The sequence below is a fragment of the Homo sapiens genome, chromosome 2 (assembly GCF_000001405.40).
Source record: "Homo sapiens chromosome 2, GRCh38.p14 Primary Assembly".
NCBI classification, from domain to species: domain Eukaryota; kingdom Metazoa; phylum Chordata; class Mammalia; order Primates; family Hominidae; genus Homo; species Homo sapiens.
This window is the reverse complement of record NC_000002.12, coordinates 108,620,094-108,638,458: the sequence shown is the minus strand read 5'-3', so window position 1 is coordinate 108,638,458 and position 18,365 is coordinate 108,620,094. Positions and strand designations below refer to the sequence as shown.

Here is an 18,365-nt window from a genome sequence, read left to right as displayed (position 1 = left end):
GTTGAATCTTTATACCCCTCATGGCACCAAGCACACTGTCATCATGCAATTAATCAAACTGGACATCTTGAGAGAAGTCCCTAGACTGCCTGCAGAGGGCATCTAAAGAGGGCAAGCCCTGGTGAGCTGCGTCCCTACCCAGACACCCAGACAGCTCAGTCTAGCTCGTTGCCTTTGGCGTAACTTTCCTCAAGAAAGACAGCTCGATCAATCAGAATCACTATAGTTTGAAATCTATAAGCCACCTCACAATTTTTTTTTCTCCCATGGTCCCTCAAATAAGCAGTGTTTAGTCAATTTAAAAACATTCTTGGGCTGGGCATGGTGCCTCATGCCTGTAATCCCAGCACTTTGGGAGGCTGAGGCAGGAGGATCACTTGAGCTCAGGAGCTGGAGACCAGCCTGGGCAACGTGGTGACACACCATCTCTATAGAAAAATTAGCCGGGCACGGTGGCATGCACCTGTAGGCGCTACTAAGGAGGCTGAGGTAGGAGGATCGCTTGAGCCTGTGAGCTATGACTGAGCTGTGATCATGCCACTGCATTCCGGCCTGGGAGACACAGCGAGATACTGTCTCAAAAAAAAAAAAAAAATCTTAAAATTTTCTCTCATAGGTTAGGTGATTTTTCTCTGACCATTTAGAAACTTTAACTAGAAAATGTCTCTGTACTAGTTCCTTTATATTTCAAATCACTTATCTTTTCATTCTTTTATTTTTATTCGTATTGTGATCCATTAACATACATTCTCACACCTAAACAGCTTTTTAAAAAGATAACATTGTGTTCTGGTCAAAACAGACAAATTAGAGGAAGCTGTGTTTCCAATACAGAATGGCAGTATTTTTAGCTAGGAATGCTGACTTAGGAGAACGCCCAGATCACCAGTGACAGCCTCCAGTGTGTCAGGAGCTCTTGACACGGCTGTAGTGGCTGTAGCACCAGAGTATCTGGCTCTAAATAACACCCTTATTTTAGTTCTGACTCAGTCAAGGCTATCTCCCTGGACATTAACCTTCAGCTACACTGGGAGGGAAGTCCGTGGGAGTTTTTATTTTGTGACTAAGCTTAACACGGGGTTTACTTCCCTCAATGATAAGGTAAAAGAAAACCATGAGAATTTCAGAATAGAACAGAATAAAAAACATTTCACTTGAGTCAAGTGAAAACAATGAACCTTTTCAAATTCAAATGTACATATCTTTCACTGCCCGTTATTTTCTTTTTGACACAGAACATGTTTTGTGTAGATTTTACTGCATTAAACAGCATTTGAAAATACTGACCAGGATGAAGCAGAGGAACTAAAATACACACACACACACACACACACACACACACACACACACACACACACATATATGTATATTTTGCTGAATTTAAAAAGGTTTCTTTTCTTTCATTAACTTTAAATTTTGTGAAATGTACACAGAAAGGCAAGGGATTATTTCAGCTACCATAACTTAGATTTTGCCATAAGTACAATGAAAAAAGATGTGGAAATAGTATAAGGTCAGGAGGTCAACCACTGTAAGCTGGTGCTCATGTAACACTGCCCAGCTACAACCAGGCTAGCAGCATCTCCCAGGGGCCTCAGTCACTCCTCTTGTTCTGCAGGCTCCTGTGCTCAACCTTCCTCTCTCCCCACACAGAGCTCTCCATTCTCTGTCACGGAATGAAGCTATGGTTTTTGAAAGCAGTTCACAGGGCTAAGTAGGAAGCTCTTTATTCCATTCCTTACCTCTTCTCAAAAAGTGGTATTCTATACATCTAGCAATAATATATAAAAATATGGCAATTACCCACTTAGACAGACCCCCTTGTGTCCTGTAGGAGGCATCACTGGGATATTGCTAGGTGCTGGTGATGCAGTTACTGCTACCTCTGTGAATCTTTGTCCTCTATGAGCAGCACTGAGACCTTGTCAGTAGAGGGTGCTGGAGAGACACTGCAGGAGGAAGAGGTTTGCTTCCCAGTCCTGCCTGCTCCCTGGGCAAAGCTCCTGCAGCACTCTGGCTTCTTCGGTGTCTAGCTCCTGCAGGGCATGGTGGCTAGCACCAGCTTCAGTGGCACTGGCCCCTCAAAAGTTTTACAGCAGAGTGCCTTGGACCCTGATGGTGCATGCAGCCAGCAGCACCCATCCCTTGGCAGTCAGCTATGTAGGGGGTACCTTGGGTGAGGGAACTCACTGGGAACAGCCTTCTCTGGTATTGGAAAGGAGGATTTCCAGCAATCTGTGCCAGCGACTTTTCTGCATGCAGCATGCCCTGGTAGTGTGACCCCGGGCACGGAGTAGGGCTCCTCCCTTGGCACTCTAACTCAGCTCTAGGGTCCGTGGCTGCTCCTTACAGCGGCTATTCCTATACTCTTTTGCTTTCTCTCCTCTTACTAGCCAATTCCTTATTACTCCAAAACCTTGTTAGAGTTAGTAATTCTATCTTTATATTAAACCTTTCCTGTTCAAATTAGCGTGTGGGTTTTCTCTCCTGGTTGGACCCAGGCCGACAGAGGCAGCCTATGTGAGGACTCTGCAGCTGATGGTACTTAGACCTTTTGGGCTCTTTCTCCAAGATGTCACTTAGGAATTTAAACAATTGTATTTACATTCAAAACTAGGAACAGACGATTTAAACAACTGTATTTACATTCAAAACTAGGAACAGACGGGGGGGAGGAGTGTGTTATCACGTAAAGGTACAGAATAATAAACCTGTCAGTTAAACGGGAGTCCAAGTCTGTCTACCTCATTCTTTTTTTTGAGATGGAGTCTTGCTCTGTCACCCAGGCTGGAGTGTAGTGGTGCGGTCTCAGTTCACCGAAACCTCCCCCTCCTGGGTTCAAGCAATTCTCTGCCTCAGCCTCCCAAGTAGCTGGGATTACAGGCACCCACCACCACGCCTGACTAATTTTTGTATTTTTAGTAGAGACGGGGTTTCACCATCTTGACCAGGCTGGTCTTGAATTCCACCCGCCTTGGCCTCCTGAAGTGCTGGGATTACAACCATTCTTTTTTTTTTTTTTTTTTTTTAGAGATGAAGTCTTGCTCTTTCCCCCCAGGCTGGAGTGTGATGGTGCAATCTCAGCTCACTGCCACTTCTGCCTTCCGAGTTCAAGCGATTCTCCTGCTTTGGCCCCCTGAGTAGCTGGGATTACAGGCACCTGCCACCACACCCAGCTAATTTTTGTATTTTTAGAGATGGGGTTTCACCATGTTGGCTAGGCTGGTCTCGAACTCCTGACCTCAGGTGATCCACCCGCCTGGGCCTCCCAAAGTGCTGGGGTTACAGGCGTGAGTCACCGCGCCCAGCCACAGCCATTCTTTATTTATGTAAACTAGAGGCCACACATGGACTCATTGTTCAAGTCAGGGCCAGAAGATATGGCCACCCCACACCCCAGTGTAGACCCCCATCCTCATGGCACTTTCTGGCCCCAGTGACATGTCTGGGGGCCACTCAATGTGAGCTCCTGGGTTCCTCTGTGACCCCAGCAAAGAGGCAAACAGGGACACACACCCATTGGTCAGTCCTCAAGAACAAGAGGAGAATAAAGGAACTGAGGCGATCAGTGAACTTTTGTTCTTCTTGAAGATGACTGGGAGGGTGGCTAGGACAGCAGCTCCTTGGGCAGTCGCTGTGCTCTGCTGCGCCTGGCCGTGAGGGCTTCTGTGAAGCTTTACTGTGAGTGCTCCACATGCTTTCCTGTCATGGTCATTCCTGAGCCTCCCTTCCTGTCACATCACTCCCACAATAGAATGAAGCAGCCGCCTGTTTTCTAAATAGTCCCTCGATTTCAGGACATTTGTGGTGAAAAGGACCATGTGTACCACTTAACACTGATGTGTGTGGCGTCTCTCCAGAGATGTCGCCAGGACAAGGTGTCACATTCAGAAGGCACAGCTTCAGGAGCCTGAAAGCCAGCCTTGGGAGGGCTGAAAGATTTGCCTCTTGCTAGTGGTAGGGGCAATGTTCTGTATGAGCTTCTTTGTTTTCTGAGGGGATTGAGAAAAACCTAAAATGTAATGCAGTAACAGTCTGGACAATTTCTGTTACAAAATGAGCTTTTAGGAGATGACATATTACCTCATTATTTCTTCTCTTTCCTCATTATCTACCTCTCTCCCATTCCCCATTGGTATAGACATTAAATTGAACAGCTGGCATGCTGAATTAACATGAGAGTCACTGAAAACTGAGTGCTGCATGAGAGCTGGCAGCTGGCACACCAGAGAGCCCTGCAGTCCTTCTTCCCTCCCCCTACAGACATCCTGCTAGAAGGAGACCCCAACCTGACACAGGTCAGTTATTGCATGGACTTCCTTGAGCTTTGCCCAGCCTGCTTCCTCCCTCTCTACCCTTGTAAGAGTCTTTGAGGACAATCCTCCCTCCTCTTTCCTTTGGAGCCACAAAGAGGCTACAGCCAGCATCCAGTCCCCATCTCAAACACAAACCTCCAAGAAATACTACTTCTAAAGAACGGTGGTGTGCAAGACAGAATCACAAGAAAAGCTTGGTGGGAGAAACACCACGATGGAGCTCAGGGAGATTATTTCAGGAAATTTTGCAATTGAGGCACAAGGATGGACACACACACACACCTGTGTGTAAATTTCTTATCATTTAATTACTTAAATAATATAAAATAAAACTTAATTTTCCTGATTTTAGGGCAACAAAACTCCCTGCTCTAATCCTTTTATAAACAGCACTGTCGCCAGGGATTTCAGTTCAGAATGGCAAACATGCACTTGTATGACTCTGGGCCAACCAAGTCTTTTAAGTCAAACCTTTAACCAACTATTAGTAAAGCATAAGACAGAACAATCTCTTTTATGGCAGCTCATAAATGAAAAAGCAAAAATGTAATCAAAACTAACTTGGCAAGAGGCCAAATTCATAGGCTGAGAAAACAGAACAAAATAACTGAGCTTCAAAGAGTTTAGAACCTATTAGGAAAGCAAATCAAATGGTGAAATTGAGAGTGGTTCAAATAAACTAATAAATATGGTGACTATTTGGACTATGTTCAGACTGAATATAAGAGGTCTGACGCTCTAATGACAGCGCCTATGCTGGTTGTATAAAAAGTCAATAATTTAAGCCTATTTAAAAGCAGCAGTCATTTTTACTCTTCTATGGATGGCAATATTCTAACCTATTACAGACAAAGCACCACATGACTATTTCAAGAGACAGTTTTATCCTTTGAAATAAAACTGCTCTGAAACACAAAAAATAATTCTGTGTTAAAAGAATACATAAAAATAACCTCACCAAATCAATTAGTAAGAATTAAGATGCTGGCAAAAACAAAGGGACAGAAGAGCAGGAATAATTCAAAAGGCAAAACCAAATCTTCCACTGCCGTCATGATGAACATTAAATGTTCTATTTCAGAGCAGAGCAGGGGATACACGGATGCTTCCTGGAGTGGAGGGGGAAGGGGACAAGGGAGTCACCTGGTACACTTTATTAACCTGAGCACAAACATAATCAGAAGAACAATATCATAATGGCTCATAAGGCAATGTCAGTGCTTTCTCATTCAGAAATCAATGTGTACACTTGCTATGCAGGTACAGATTGCCTGTAAGTAAACTGCTTATATAAACAGACTTTTCAAGGTCAATTTACCTTCCTTTTGGTTTAATATTTTCATCTACATTTAAGTAGCCTGAGCCAGTATTCCAGTTCTCTGAGGCCACAATCCCAGGCACTCATGTACAGCTCTGTAGAAGTTGCTGAAGTGCCACTACTCACATGTTGATTCTATAGCAGTATCTGCATTCCCTCTTACATTTTCAAAGCTGAGGAGGCAGAGAGGCTTCTCTTTGGCTCGCTTACCATTCATTTGGCCCCAAATACCATTTTGTGCAATAAGATCTAGCACTGCCTGATAAAGAACAAGGTGTCCAGAACATCAGGACTCTGGGCATATCCTCCCTTGAGTTTTCCTTCACTGTTCATCACACTCTGAGAATGCGCGTTGCCTGACCTTGAGACACCTGGACCCTACATCCTATGCAGCATCAGCACTTAACTTTTAACATGGTGTCTTTCAAGGCAGAGAAGATGGCTGAATTTAGCAGATGAAATCACTGACACAAGGTACTTAGGAAGTAAAAAGCAATTAACTTTCTGCTTTTCAAACATGTGTGGCTTCCCAAAGAGTAAAAAGGGAAAGTATCAGCTGGGCACGGTGACTCAAGCCTGTAATTCCAGCACTTTGGGAGGCCAAGGCAGGTGGATCACCTGAGGTCAGGAGTTCGAGACCAGCCTGGCCAAAATGGGAAACCTCGTCACTACTAAAAATGCAAACATTAGCCAAGCATGGTGGCAGGCGCCTGTACTCCCAGCTACTCAGGAGGCTAAGGCAGGAGAACTGCTTGGACCCAGGAGGTGGAGGTTACAGTGAGCCAAGATTGCACCACTGCACTCCAGCCTGGGTGACAAGAGGGAAACTGCATCTCAACAAACAAACAAACACGAAAGTACCTATTCTGTGAAGGAGGCATATATGCAAAGCGGTTCCAAATGTGAAGGAGCTGAGAAACTAAAGAAGGAGAAAGACAAATCTATTTTGTTGGTATTGGGTGATTTACTGAGGGAACTTACAGACAGAAGTGTGGTCTTGGTCAGCCACAAAACAGGCAGATCTCTGCACCACTGCTCCCAGACCCAGGGCTTACAGACCATGAAGAAAGGGCACGTGTGCAGACAACCCTCCAGAACATGGATGCCGTACGCATCACAGCCTGGAGTCTGTGTGACAACATCCAGGTTGACATGTTCTTCCACTAGGGACAGTAAGTAAAGTAGTAATCAGGAGCCATTCAAAGGTCTCAAAGGAGGCTAATCAGAAGTCAACATGGCATGCTATAACAGATGTCTTAGAAAAAAAAAAAAAAGGCAACACGGTAGATTAGCATCCAAGACAGAGTCCCTTTTGTTCCACAGCATACAATCATTTGATATTTAAAATGAAACACAATAAATCCTCCTTGAGTAGGTCTAAATCTGTTAATATAAGAACATTCACTTCTTTTACAGATCATATTCAACTAGCAAAGGGAGAAACTCAAAGCTCCTAAAAATAACTGACTTGCAGAAGTCAATTACTAAGTAGTTATTCAAGACACTGGACCCAGGCCAGTGGGCTATACCCAGACTCCTCACCCACTCTCACTCAGCAACTTAAAACAAGTGTATTTACACTCAAAACTAGGAAGGGAAGGGCGGAGGTATATATTATCAAGTAAAGGTATAGAAAATAAAATCTTCAGTTAAATGAGAGTCCAAGTCAGTCTACCCCATTCTTTAAGCCAGAGGCTAGTCTACCCCATTCTTAAGCCAGAGGCTAGAAGCTGACTCATTAAGTGTCCCACACTCTGTAAGCCAACTTCATCCTGTCATAATAAATTTTAATTGTCTGAAAAATCAAACAATTCCATCCCTGCTCCACAGATGTAAAAGCAGTAACTTGAGATGTTCATTTTTCTGAATCTAATCTTTTACCCCTACATTACCATTTTCACTTTCTAACATTAAGAAATACTGTTTTTTTCCAACACAAAATATGAAAGCTTAATGATTACCATAGAACGACAGCCTAGATTAAGGTAAAGAATCCTACATTTTTCCTCCTCGTCCCACTCAACCTCCAAATTACTCATGCTAGAGCCATGGGTGGTGAAATCCTGGTGTGGCTTATATCCCAACAGACACACAGGTAGCTGACAGCAGAGGGAATCTCAGGGGCTTTGTTATATTCCTGACTACTGGGATAGATGTTTGGATGGGACACAACCACTCATCAGATAAGCCCTAAATAAATGAAAAAGTATAATGTGTTAGTTACACATAAGGGAAACGTTAAAACTGTGCCATTCGTCATGATACGTATTTCAAAAAATTTAAAACCTTTGATTACTGAAGATTTCAAACATATATTAAACGAGTGAGTATAACGAATCCCTCTGAACCATTATCCAACTCCAACAGTCATCAAGTCGTGATCAATTTATCTACTCATCAACCATAAAATATTTTGAAACAAATTCCCTACATTGTATCATTGGATCCCTGAGTTCTTCAGCATGTAAGTGTGACATAATTAAGCTCTGATTTCCTATAGCAGTGCAGTGAATTTCGAAGGAGGCTCACTACAGGGATGCCTGAATTTCACTGTTTTTAAAATCACAATTTTAAGTGAGGCAGGCTGTCTTCTGGTTTTCTTTTCTTTCTTTTTTTTTTTTTTTTTTTTTTTGAGACAGGGTCTCACTCTGTTGCCCAGGCTGGAGTACAATGGTATGATCTCACCTCACTATAGCCTAACCTCCCAGGCTCAAGCAATCCTCCAGCCTCAGCCTCCCAAGTTGCCAGGACTACAGGTGCACGCCACCACGCTTGGCTAATTTTTGTATTTCTTTGTGGAAATATGGTTTCACCATGTTGCCCAGTCTGGTCTTGAACTCCTGGACTCAAGTGATCCACCCGGCTTGGCCTCCCAAAGTGCTGGGATTACAGGCATGAGCGACAGTGCCTGGCCTTCACCTGGTTTTCAAATCTTGATCTCCTAAACCAAGACGCCTCTGCAGCTGCCATGGGACAAAGGAAGGACCTCAGGAAAGGAATCTGCAGTCTAGGCCACATAGCCTTCTCTCCTCACATCACCTCCATGGAGAATCACTGACTTTGTTTCACATACCACAATCCACAGGGAAATCCTGTCTGGGAAAAAAATGACTCTTTAAAGCTTCTGAATGGACCAAGCCTTTCTTTTTATATTTGGAGGAAACTGGGCTTCAGAGAGGCCCAAGGTAAAGTTCCACTTCCTCACGTACTAAACAAGCTCATTAAAGGATGCAATGTCAAACAAACACAGTAACCACCCACACCTTTTCTGAGAGTCTCAAATGGAAAGTCTTCTCTATAACTGATACTTGCATTTTTTCATCTGTTCTTGTGAGAATCAGAAGCTCTAAAAACACTGACTGGCTTTTTGAAATAATCCAACCTCTAGCTATTTCTATTATGAGTGAAAGTTAACTCACTACAGTTGAAGCAGTCAATTTCAGTCTCTGTCTCCTCTCTTTCTTTATATATATCTCTGAAGACCATCCTAAGTTCATTCATAGAGAAGAAACTTTTTTGGAAACAATCCTATACATCTTCTTTCCATCCGAACATGGTTGAAACATTACAAATTAGAAGCCAACATGTAAGTTGTGATCCGTTTCTAGTTCCACGCATACGAATACTTCTTCCCTATAACACTGCCATTTTTTCATTCTCATTACCCCGATCAATTAGAATTCTGACAATAAAATGTACCATTTCCTCCCAATACCACACAACAGTCTTCCTTTAAACAGCTATAATAGCAGATGGCAACATAGATAGACAAAGGTGATGGCAATACGTTTCTGTTGAATTGCACAGCTGCTTATGATGGACACCAAACCTACTGATATTGCTTTAAGCATAGATGGTCAAATAAGTATTCTGCTTTTTAAAAAAATATTTCAATGCAGTCTCAGCTACTCGGAAGGCTGAGGATCACTTTAGCCAGGGAGCAAAGATTGTGCCACTGCACTCCAGCCTGGGTGATAGAGCAAGACCCTGTCTCAGAAAAAACAAGAACCTTCATAAAACTCATTACTGTCATATTTCTCTTCAAAAATTAATGCACTGAGGCTGGGTGCGGTGGCTCACGCCTGTAATCCCAGCGATTTGGGAGCCAAGGAGGGTGGATCACCTGAGGTCAGGAGTTCGAGACCAGCCTGGCCAACATGGTGAAACCCCGTCTCTACTAAAAATACAAAAATTAGCTGGGCGTGGTGGTGCGCCTGTAATTCCAGCTACTCGGGAGGCTGAGGTGGGAGAATTGCTTGAGCCTGGGAGGCGAAGGCTCACTGCAGCCTAGGCAACATTGATTTCACTGCCTCTTCAATAAATGATCCAATAAACTGCTTTCATAGCTCATTTCATTCATTTATCGATTCACAAATATTAACTGGAAATCCCTAGTTTAAACTGGTGCTAGTCATTAAGTGAGAGCTAGAAATGACTCTTGGCCTGATTTGACAGTGACTGCACATGGATGGTATCTGAGCCATACATACTCAAGAGCCATGGGAGACACTGAAAGACAAAGGAAAAACTGAAAAGAAGTAACCAGTAGGAAAACTAGGAAAAGGCAGGGCTGAGGAGACAATGGAGGAGACAATTTTAAGAAGAAAGTATTACTGCTGTCAAACTTCAAGAAGTCAAGGGAAAGTGACCAGAGCTGTGGTGAAGACAGACACACTGAGAAGATGGCCTTATGACCACAAGGGCAGAAACAGGAGCAAGGCACCTGCAAGTCAAGAACACTCAGCACTGCAGGCAAAGCCTGGTGCTTGGAGAGGAAAGGAAGCATCTCCCTTCAGGGGTCAGAGGGGGCATGGCCCTGCTGACACGCTGGTTTCTGACTTCTGGTGTCCAGAAATCTACGACAACAAATTTCTGTAGTTTGAAGCTACACAGTTTATGGTACTTGGTGATGGCAGCCCTAGGAAACAGATATAACCATTTAAAAAAACTTAAGGAGGTTCATATTTATGTGAAACATATTTAATAATTACTTCTAAAAGAAGATTTTTTTAAATAAGAAAATATTCACGTCCAAAGTTTGTTTTAGTCACAGAATAGCCAATGAGTAGCACAGACATATAATCAGTTGCTGTGTCTCTAAGATACATACATGTAGAATAAATAGTACTGTTTCCTTTTAATAACATCTATCCAAAGTCAGGTAGGTAAAGCACAAGTTTTGGACAACTATCTTTTCTGACTTTTATAAGTAATTTATACCTGAGACTTCAAGATTTTGTTTGCTTTTTTAAAAACCAACAGGAAAGCAACCAAATTATTGAAATTTTGGGATTTAATTGTCACAATAAATAATTTAGATAATATGATGCGTACTGACAACAAAATTACAGATTGATTCTGTTAAAGTTGACGGTTCGTTCCTAAATGTCTCCTATAGCAGTGCAAAAAAAAAAAAAAAAAAAACCAGAAAGGGATCATTATTCAATAACTTTTTACTTCTTATCATTCCTTTAACAGACCTGATTTTTAAGCATCAACACTGCTATTTTTAATTTCAGCATAAACTCCCTCTACTAGTCATACATTGCTTAATGACAAGGATATGATCTGAGAAATGCATCATCAGGTGATTTAGTCATGTGTGAACATCATAAATATACAAATGTTCACATAAACATACACAAACCTAGACAGTACAGCCTATTACATGCCTAGGCTACGTGGTATAGCCTGTTGCTCCAAGGCCACAAACCTGTACAGCACAGGACTGTATTGAATACTGTAGGCAACTGTAACACAACAGTTAAGTGTATATATAAAATAGCTAAAAATATTATAGTATAGTAAAAATACGGTTTAAAAGATTAAAATGGTACATCTGCATAGGGCAACTTCCTTGTAATCTTAAGAGACCACTGTCATGTTTGTAGTCTCTCGTTGACTGAAACGTTTTATGCAGCACATGACTATATGCAGAAATATTTTAGATGACTGAAAAATACATTTCCCTTTGGAAACTAAGCTTTCCAAAACTACTGAAAGAGAAAAGCAAAATAATCATGATCTATACTCTGATAGATACATCCGTCTCTTAGGCTTCTCTCAGTGTGATACTGTACATAAATAAAAAGTTAATAATTAAGACTTAAAAAGTAGAGTGTAAAGAGTTTAATCTAGAATAAAAGAGGTACCTTTAGGCCAGTTTAGTTTCTCATTCCTTTACTCATTCAATGAGAAACAGATTCTGAACTGCAGTACGTGCTAGATGCACAGGAAATATGGTAAAGTCTCTTGCCTTGAAGAATCCCCTCTCTATTATATGGGGGTGGGAGGTGAGAGTGGGTGAAGAGGGGGTCTGTAAAACCAGTTATTACAATATAAGTACTTGTAGGTTACAATCAAACATATAGGAGTAAGCACTATGAACTTTTAAAAAGCAACACTAGCAAGTGGTTTTTCTCTTTCCTATAGCAAAGAGAAAAATATTTCTTATTAATTGTCCCATGTGTTTGCTCATTGTTGGGAAGACTAAATGTACCCTCACTGAACCACCAAATAATAAGAACAGATAATATCAGATAATAAGATAATGGCAAAACTGCAATTTTATCCCTATTGTCTAACAGACTACATTTCTAAAACTAAAATACAAACATAATTTTTCAGTTAAAAGTTGGGCCAAAAAGTGATCAGCAAACTGCAAAAGAGGTATGCAAGAAACACACAGCCTAGGCTGAGCTACTCCAACGTTGACTGAATTCTAAGCACTAACTTATTTGAATCAAGGACAGAAACTGGTTTCATAACAATGACCACCTTTATAGCCTTCAGTTCTTTCTCTCTTACGGGATCATGAGACATGGTGGGCCCACACACACAAAAGCCCTTACTTAATGCAGTGCCTGGCCTATAACAGGGGTTCAATTAATGGTTATGTACTAGTCAGGAACACATGATCTGAGTTTTCACTCTCAAACCAAAGCAAGGACATTCCCACCACTTAAAAATGATTTTATATGCTATATCTATAAAAATATGAGCTTGGAAGGTTTATTCTATAACCAGAAAGTAAAGGTTACATTTCTTTGCACTTCCATTCTTGGTTAACCTGATCCATCCAGGAATCAGGAGAAGGGTACTACTTCAAGGTCAACGCTGCAGGAAAGGAGGAAAGGAGGTCTAAGAAGCGAAGAGCTCACTGCTGCTGTGTGGCAACTTCCCATTTTCACTTTACTCCTAAACTATTAGGGATACAAATTTCAAACTGCATTTTTTTGGGGGGGGGGATTCATATTCTTTTCAAATGGCTGACGTAGCCCTGATTTTATCCAGGCAAGATAAACCTAACTGGGAGGTGAGAGAGTGAGGAGGGCAGAAGCATGGCCGAAGGAACAGGGAAAAGGGAAAGCTCTAGGAGTTCTTATCTCAGCACTAGACCAGGGGTCAGCCCAGGTTTTCTGTGAAGGGCCTGAAGGTAAATAATTTTTGTCTTTGTGGGCCACATTGGTCTGTGTCACAACTCAACTTTGCCAGCGTAGCAGAAAACCACCACAGGCAACACATACAAATAAGCATGGCTGTGTTCCAGTAAAACTTCATTTGTGGACACTGAAATTTGAATTTCATATATTTCACATGTGAAAAATATTTTTATTATTTTTTCAACCATTCAAAAATGTAAAACCCATCCCAAGCTCATGGGCCATACACAAAAAGGCAGCAGGCCAGATTTGGCCTGAGGGTCATAAGTTCACCTGCCCCTATATATATTTTTTGTTTGTTTGTTTGAGAGAGTCTCACTCTGTAGCCCAAGCTGCAGTGCAACGGCGTGATCTCGGCTCACTGCAACCTCCGCCTTCCAGGCTCAAACAATTCTCGTGCCTCAGCATCCTCACTAGCTGGGACCATAGGTGTGCGCCACCACACCTGGCTAATTTTTTATATTTTAGTAGAGGCTGGGTTTCCCCATGTTGCCCAGAGTGGTCTTGAACTCCTGAGCTCAGGTGATCTGCCTGCCTCGGCCTCCCAAAGTGCTGGGATTATAGGCGTGAGCCACCGCACCCGGCCTACCAGCCCCTATATTGTTATTTATTTATTTATTTATTTAGAGACATAGTCTTGCTTGGTCACCCAGGCTAGAGTGCAGTGGCGCGATCTCGGCTCACTGCAACCTCTGTCTCCTGGGTTCAAACGATTCTCCTGCCTCAGCCTCCACAGTAGCTGGGACTACAGGCGCTTGCCACCACGTCCAGCTAATCTTTGTATTTTTAGTAGAGATGGGGTTTCACCACGTTGGCCAGACTGGTCTTGAACTTCTGACCTCAAGTGATCCGCCTGCCTCGGCCTCCCAAAGTACTGGGATTATAGGCGTCAGCCACTGCATCCAGCCACCAGCCCCTATATTAAGCTGTTTTGAACCCAACCAGGAGAAACTTCAATTTTGTACTGTTTCTAATCAGTTATTTATAGATCCCTTCTATCTGAGGCAGAGAAAAAGTAACTTTGAGAATTTTTAAAGGGCAGGAATTTCTCAGGTGTGTTTGTCATTCAGGTATTGTCAAAAAACAACTATGTTTGAATGCAACATAATTTAAAAGATAGAATAGCTAAAGGAGTAAGTGTAGGTACATGGGTATATCTTAGATGTTATTTTGGGACACCAAAAACTTCAGGGAAAAAAGGGTCAATGCCTTGTGAAGGTCTGGGGCTTCCGACCCACTGGAACAAGCATGTCACTTGTGTCACTTCACTCTAACTGTAACCACAAACACAGTGGGTAATGCTCCACTGTACAAAGTATGTGAATAAAGTCAGTTTCAAGTCATATTTAATACTTTAAAACAAAAGTCTAGGAAGCCCAGTGTTTGTCATGCCACCTTTTACCTGCTTCGGTTTTGAACAATTTCAAGTTTGACGCCGGAACTATTTTCATGTGTATTACAGTGCTCTTTAAGCACGTGCATCTCGTGTTTCAGAGCACAGCCTTTTATTTAAACTTTAAGAGCAAAAAATGTTTTCTGGCAGTGGCCATGGCCAATTTTAGTCTCTGAAAGTTTTTCTGTTAAGAGTCCACAAACGTAAGAAATGAACACTTGAGTAAGAAGGAATGAGAGCTGGAATGGGTCTTATGCAATACTTGAGACAGTATGAAAGATGTTTGATAGCACAGGTATTCAAAATCAAATAATTGTTCATGGAGAGAAAATCTGTGGTCATATTAAATATGCCCAAACCTAGGTGGGTGTTCCTGTGGCGAGGCCTGTGTCTTATTCCTCACTGTATCTTTACTTTGCAAATAGTAGGCACTCAATAACAATTAAACAATGAATTAACTGTATGGCACTATTCGCAAGATAACAATGCCACCTGCCTCACTGAATTGGTGGTTTGAGTTCTGTGAGAGAGTAAATAATGTTCAATAATAGTAGTTATTTTTATCCTTATTTTTTTAAAAAAAGAATAAACCAAGACTTAAAAAAATTATATAACTTGTCCAACTGAGTGGTACTGAAACTCTGGTGTACCTAACTTCAAAGTCCTTACTCTCTTTGATTCCTATTAGCTCAGAAACCTCATTTAATCCTGAAAATAGGCTTAGTATAACTAGGGTAAAAAAAAATACACCTAAGCTGATTAAAAAAAAAATCCAGGCATAAACAGACAATGGTTTACCTTTCTTGGCTAACCTATACTTCTGAATAAGGAAAATGATCATTTTCTCTACATTAGGAGACAAAAGTGGCAGAAATACAAGTCCCTTCTATGACCAGATAACTACATCACCAGAATGGGTGACAAAATATTTCTCTTTAAACAACTAGAACAGGCAATACTTAAGAATTATTCTTCCTCTTTTAATTAAATTCTAAGCAAAAAAAAAAAAAAAAAAATCTAGTTGTTTGAAAGAGCATTGTAACTATGTAAATAACTACTTCCTTGGCATATACGTTATTTTACTCATGAGTACTTTGGCTATTGTCTGAAAATAAAGAAAAGGTTGGTTTAGAATTTTTTTTATATAACTTAATTTTTTTAAAAAAGGAAATTCCTCCAAACCCCGAAATCTGAAATTAAAACTGTTTTTGGTAACTTCACTCTTGGATCCATTGTAGACTGGAGTCTACCAATAAATGTTGGTTTCAGAGGTCACTTCCAATTGTCTATCTGGTTAGCAATATAGAGCTCAATATTTTCACTAACCTCACATACAAACTTCTTAACAATTTAAACTCTGAGACTTTTAAATTGTTTAATCCAGTCAATTCAAAGTTAATACATTAAATGTAGCTAAGAGACACCTGACATAGTAAGCGATAAGTTCTAATAATGTTAGTGTCAATAATAGTCCTTTAATGCTACCCTCTTCAAAAATTGGTGAGTCAACAATTTTAAAATAAATGTTTCTTTAGCAAATTACAGTTACTGTAGTATAGCTGTCTGTGACAAATACAAATTTAATAGAGAAGTTGAAGCTTGTCAATTTGTCCTTGTTACATTTAAATAGAGAATTTAAAATAAACTCTGGAAGTTAGTTTGTAGGAAAAAGAACAATAGTACACAAAGTATAGATAGCCTTCCCGCCATCTAATCAGAATATTCAAACACTTAAATCAAGACCTCCAAATTAAAGTACTAAACAGTAAATGTAATTTAAAAAAAGGAAGTCTCTCTTTACTGCAGCCTTCTGTCATCAGTAAAACAGGAACATCCCAGGAACAGGGAAAATCTAAACCCTTCAGTTAATGCAGTATTTTAACACATAGGCTTAATGTTGTAGAGGCTTTCAGAACCTCAAATCTAAGAAATTTTCAGTAGTTGCAACAAAAAAATAAAATTGTGTTGTTTTAGGGAAATTCACTTTGAAAGCCAAGAACTCTAACCTTTTTAGTTAAAAAGGTTTCCAGGTTTTTGATGTCCTTCCTTCCTAGGCTACATTGAATAGTTCCACTGCATTCCTTTGTTACACCATTTCAGTAACAATCTCCATGGCACCCCTCCCCCAACCCCAAACCACCACAAACTACCCACCTTCATCAAAACACAGACAAAAACATGTTCCAATCAGCCAAAGAAAACTCTCTTTAAACTAAGTGGAAAAATCAGTTGTTTTCAATTTAAAATATTTCTGGTGATTATATAATTTTTAAAGACATAACAACACTGTAGGTTTGGAGAAGGGGTAAAACAACTTAAAGGATTTGTGAAGAAATGGGCAAAAGTATTCTGGTTTTGCACAGTTCCAATCAGTACAATCTTGATATTGTGTTCAGTTTTTAATTACAGACTAAGAGGCTACTTTTCAATGAGTACTTCCCAACGCTGCATCCACTTAGGCATGAATCCCCACTGCACTTACTAGATTAGATGTCTTGACCTTTAGCCAACCATGACTTTGCACTCACCTTAGCTCTTCCTCTGGTAACCCATTTACTCTCAAACTATCGGGGCGATCTCGTCTTCTCCTGTAGAGACCTGAATGTGAAAGCTCTTTAAGCTGTAATGCAGTCATACTTCTCTCCACACATCAATTGCTGACACTTTAAAGCATTTATGCTCAGCAGTGTGGCTGCCAGGGGAAAGCAGCGTCCCTTGCCGAGGGACCTCAGCACACCTGACTCAGCCTTAGAAACCTCCAGGCAGACCAAGCTGCTGAAGCACAGCTTCCTGTTTCTCACTGGTACACACCCTCCTCAGCAAGGCACAACTTGCCTTATCTCTGGGCCTCGCACCTTGGGGAGGGGGGAAGCGGTGACCAAGAAGGCAGGTTACTTACTTGTTTATTAATAAGCAAAATTTAATTGTTATGAATAATCACACCAATTCCTTTAAAAACCTTGCCAGGACCACTCTGAACTAAAATTGGGCTAAAAAGCTCCAGTAAGGTAGTCGCTAAAGAAGGGTCCTGCTGTTTTATTTGCCAGGAAATCCATCAACACTTCACAGGCAGTTGTCAGTTTAAAGAACCGCCTGGTTATAGTGAGCTCCTTAGGGACATTTTCCTTAAAAAGGAGAGGAGGGGCAGAATTCTAAAGGGAAGCAGTCCAATTCCTCCCCCTTACCACTCCACTCTAAATCCTCTTCAGAAGGGAAGGAAGTGTCTTTGGTCCACCCACCCCTCATTAAATATTACTGAAGAATTCATAACTGAAAGGAAGATGGTTTCTTCCTTCATTCATTGTAATTACTGGCTGTGAATAATGCCCTCTCGTAGGAAAGGCCACCCCGGCTGACACAATGCTGTTGGCTTTAAGGTGGAATGGGTCCTATATACCCTGTATTTATCTGTACATTTGACCTCGGAAAGTGACAATGTTAGGAAGGTTTTGGGTGTGGGGATGTGTACAACAGAGGACAGGTTTGGGGAAAGTCCTTCGTCATCCAGCTCAAAGTGATGCTACCCAACAGCAGGCACAGCACGGCCCTCCAATCCACTTCAGTCCCACTGGGAACACAGGACCACACCACAAATACAGGCTACCTCCCAGCAAGATCTTAGCCAGTAGTTTGACTAAATGGTTCTAGGAATTTTTCTCTGGGCAATTTATACCAGCCTCTTTTCCTTTTAGAACCTTCTCGACAAGAACACAGAGAAATGGGTCTGATAATATTTTTACACTAAGAGCTAGAGAGTTATTCCCATCTCTGAGAGAATCTGCTCTATATATACAAAAATTAAGGCAACCCATAGGAAAGGGAAGTCTACATCTTATTCCTTCACTTAGGACACAGATGCTAGTTCCCCTGAGGGCTACCATTTGTTACGCTAGGTC

General features: G+C 41.3%; 1 protein-coding gene across 13 annotated transcripts in view, besides 1 other annotated feature; it reads right to left on the bottom strand.

Moving 5' to 3' along the window:
• The window catches only part of LIMS1 (LIM zinc finger domain containing 1), a 153,576-nt gene that overhangs the window by 48,788 nt on the left and 86,423 nt on the right, over positions 1 to 18,365 (bottom strand). For 2 of the 13 annotated variants that reach the window (NM_001193484.2, NM_001371500.1), the window contains exon 1: positions 16,998 to 17,208. The exons of the other annotated variants lie outside the window; for them this stretch is intronic. In NM_001193484.2, coding sequence (NP_001180413.1) covers positions 16,998 to 17,104 — 107 coding nt within the window. In that variant the 5' untranslated portion in view covers positions 17,105 to 17,208. Of the gene's footprint in view, positions 1 to 16,997; positions 17,209 to 18,365 lie in introns of those variants that run through there. 13 annotated transcript variants of the gene reach the window in all.
• Positions 1,604 to 2,178: an enhancer, noted in NCBI's record as "H3K4me1 hESC enhancer chr2:109252737-109253311 (GRCh37/hg19 assembly coordinates)". NCBI's record gives its function as "activates a minimal SCP1, AML or CMV promoter by ChIP-STARR-seq in naive H9 embryonic stem cells {active_cell/tissue: H9 hESC(naive)}" and the evidence as "EXISTENCE:reporter gene assay evidence [ECO:0000049][PMID:30033119]".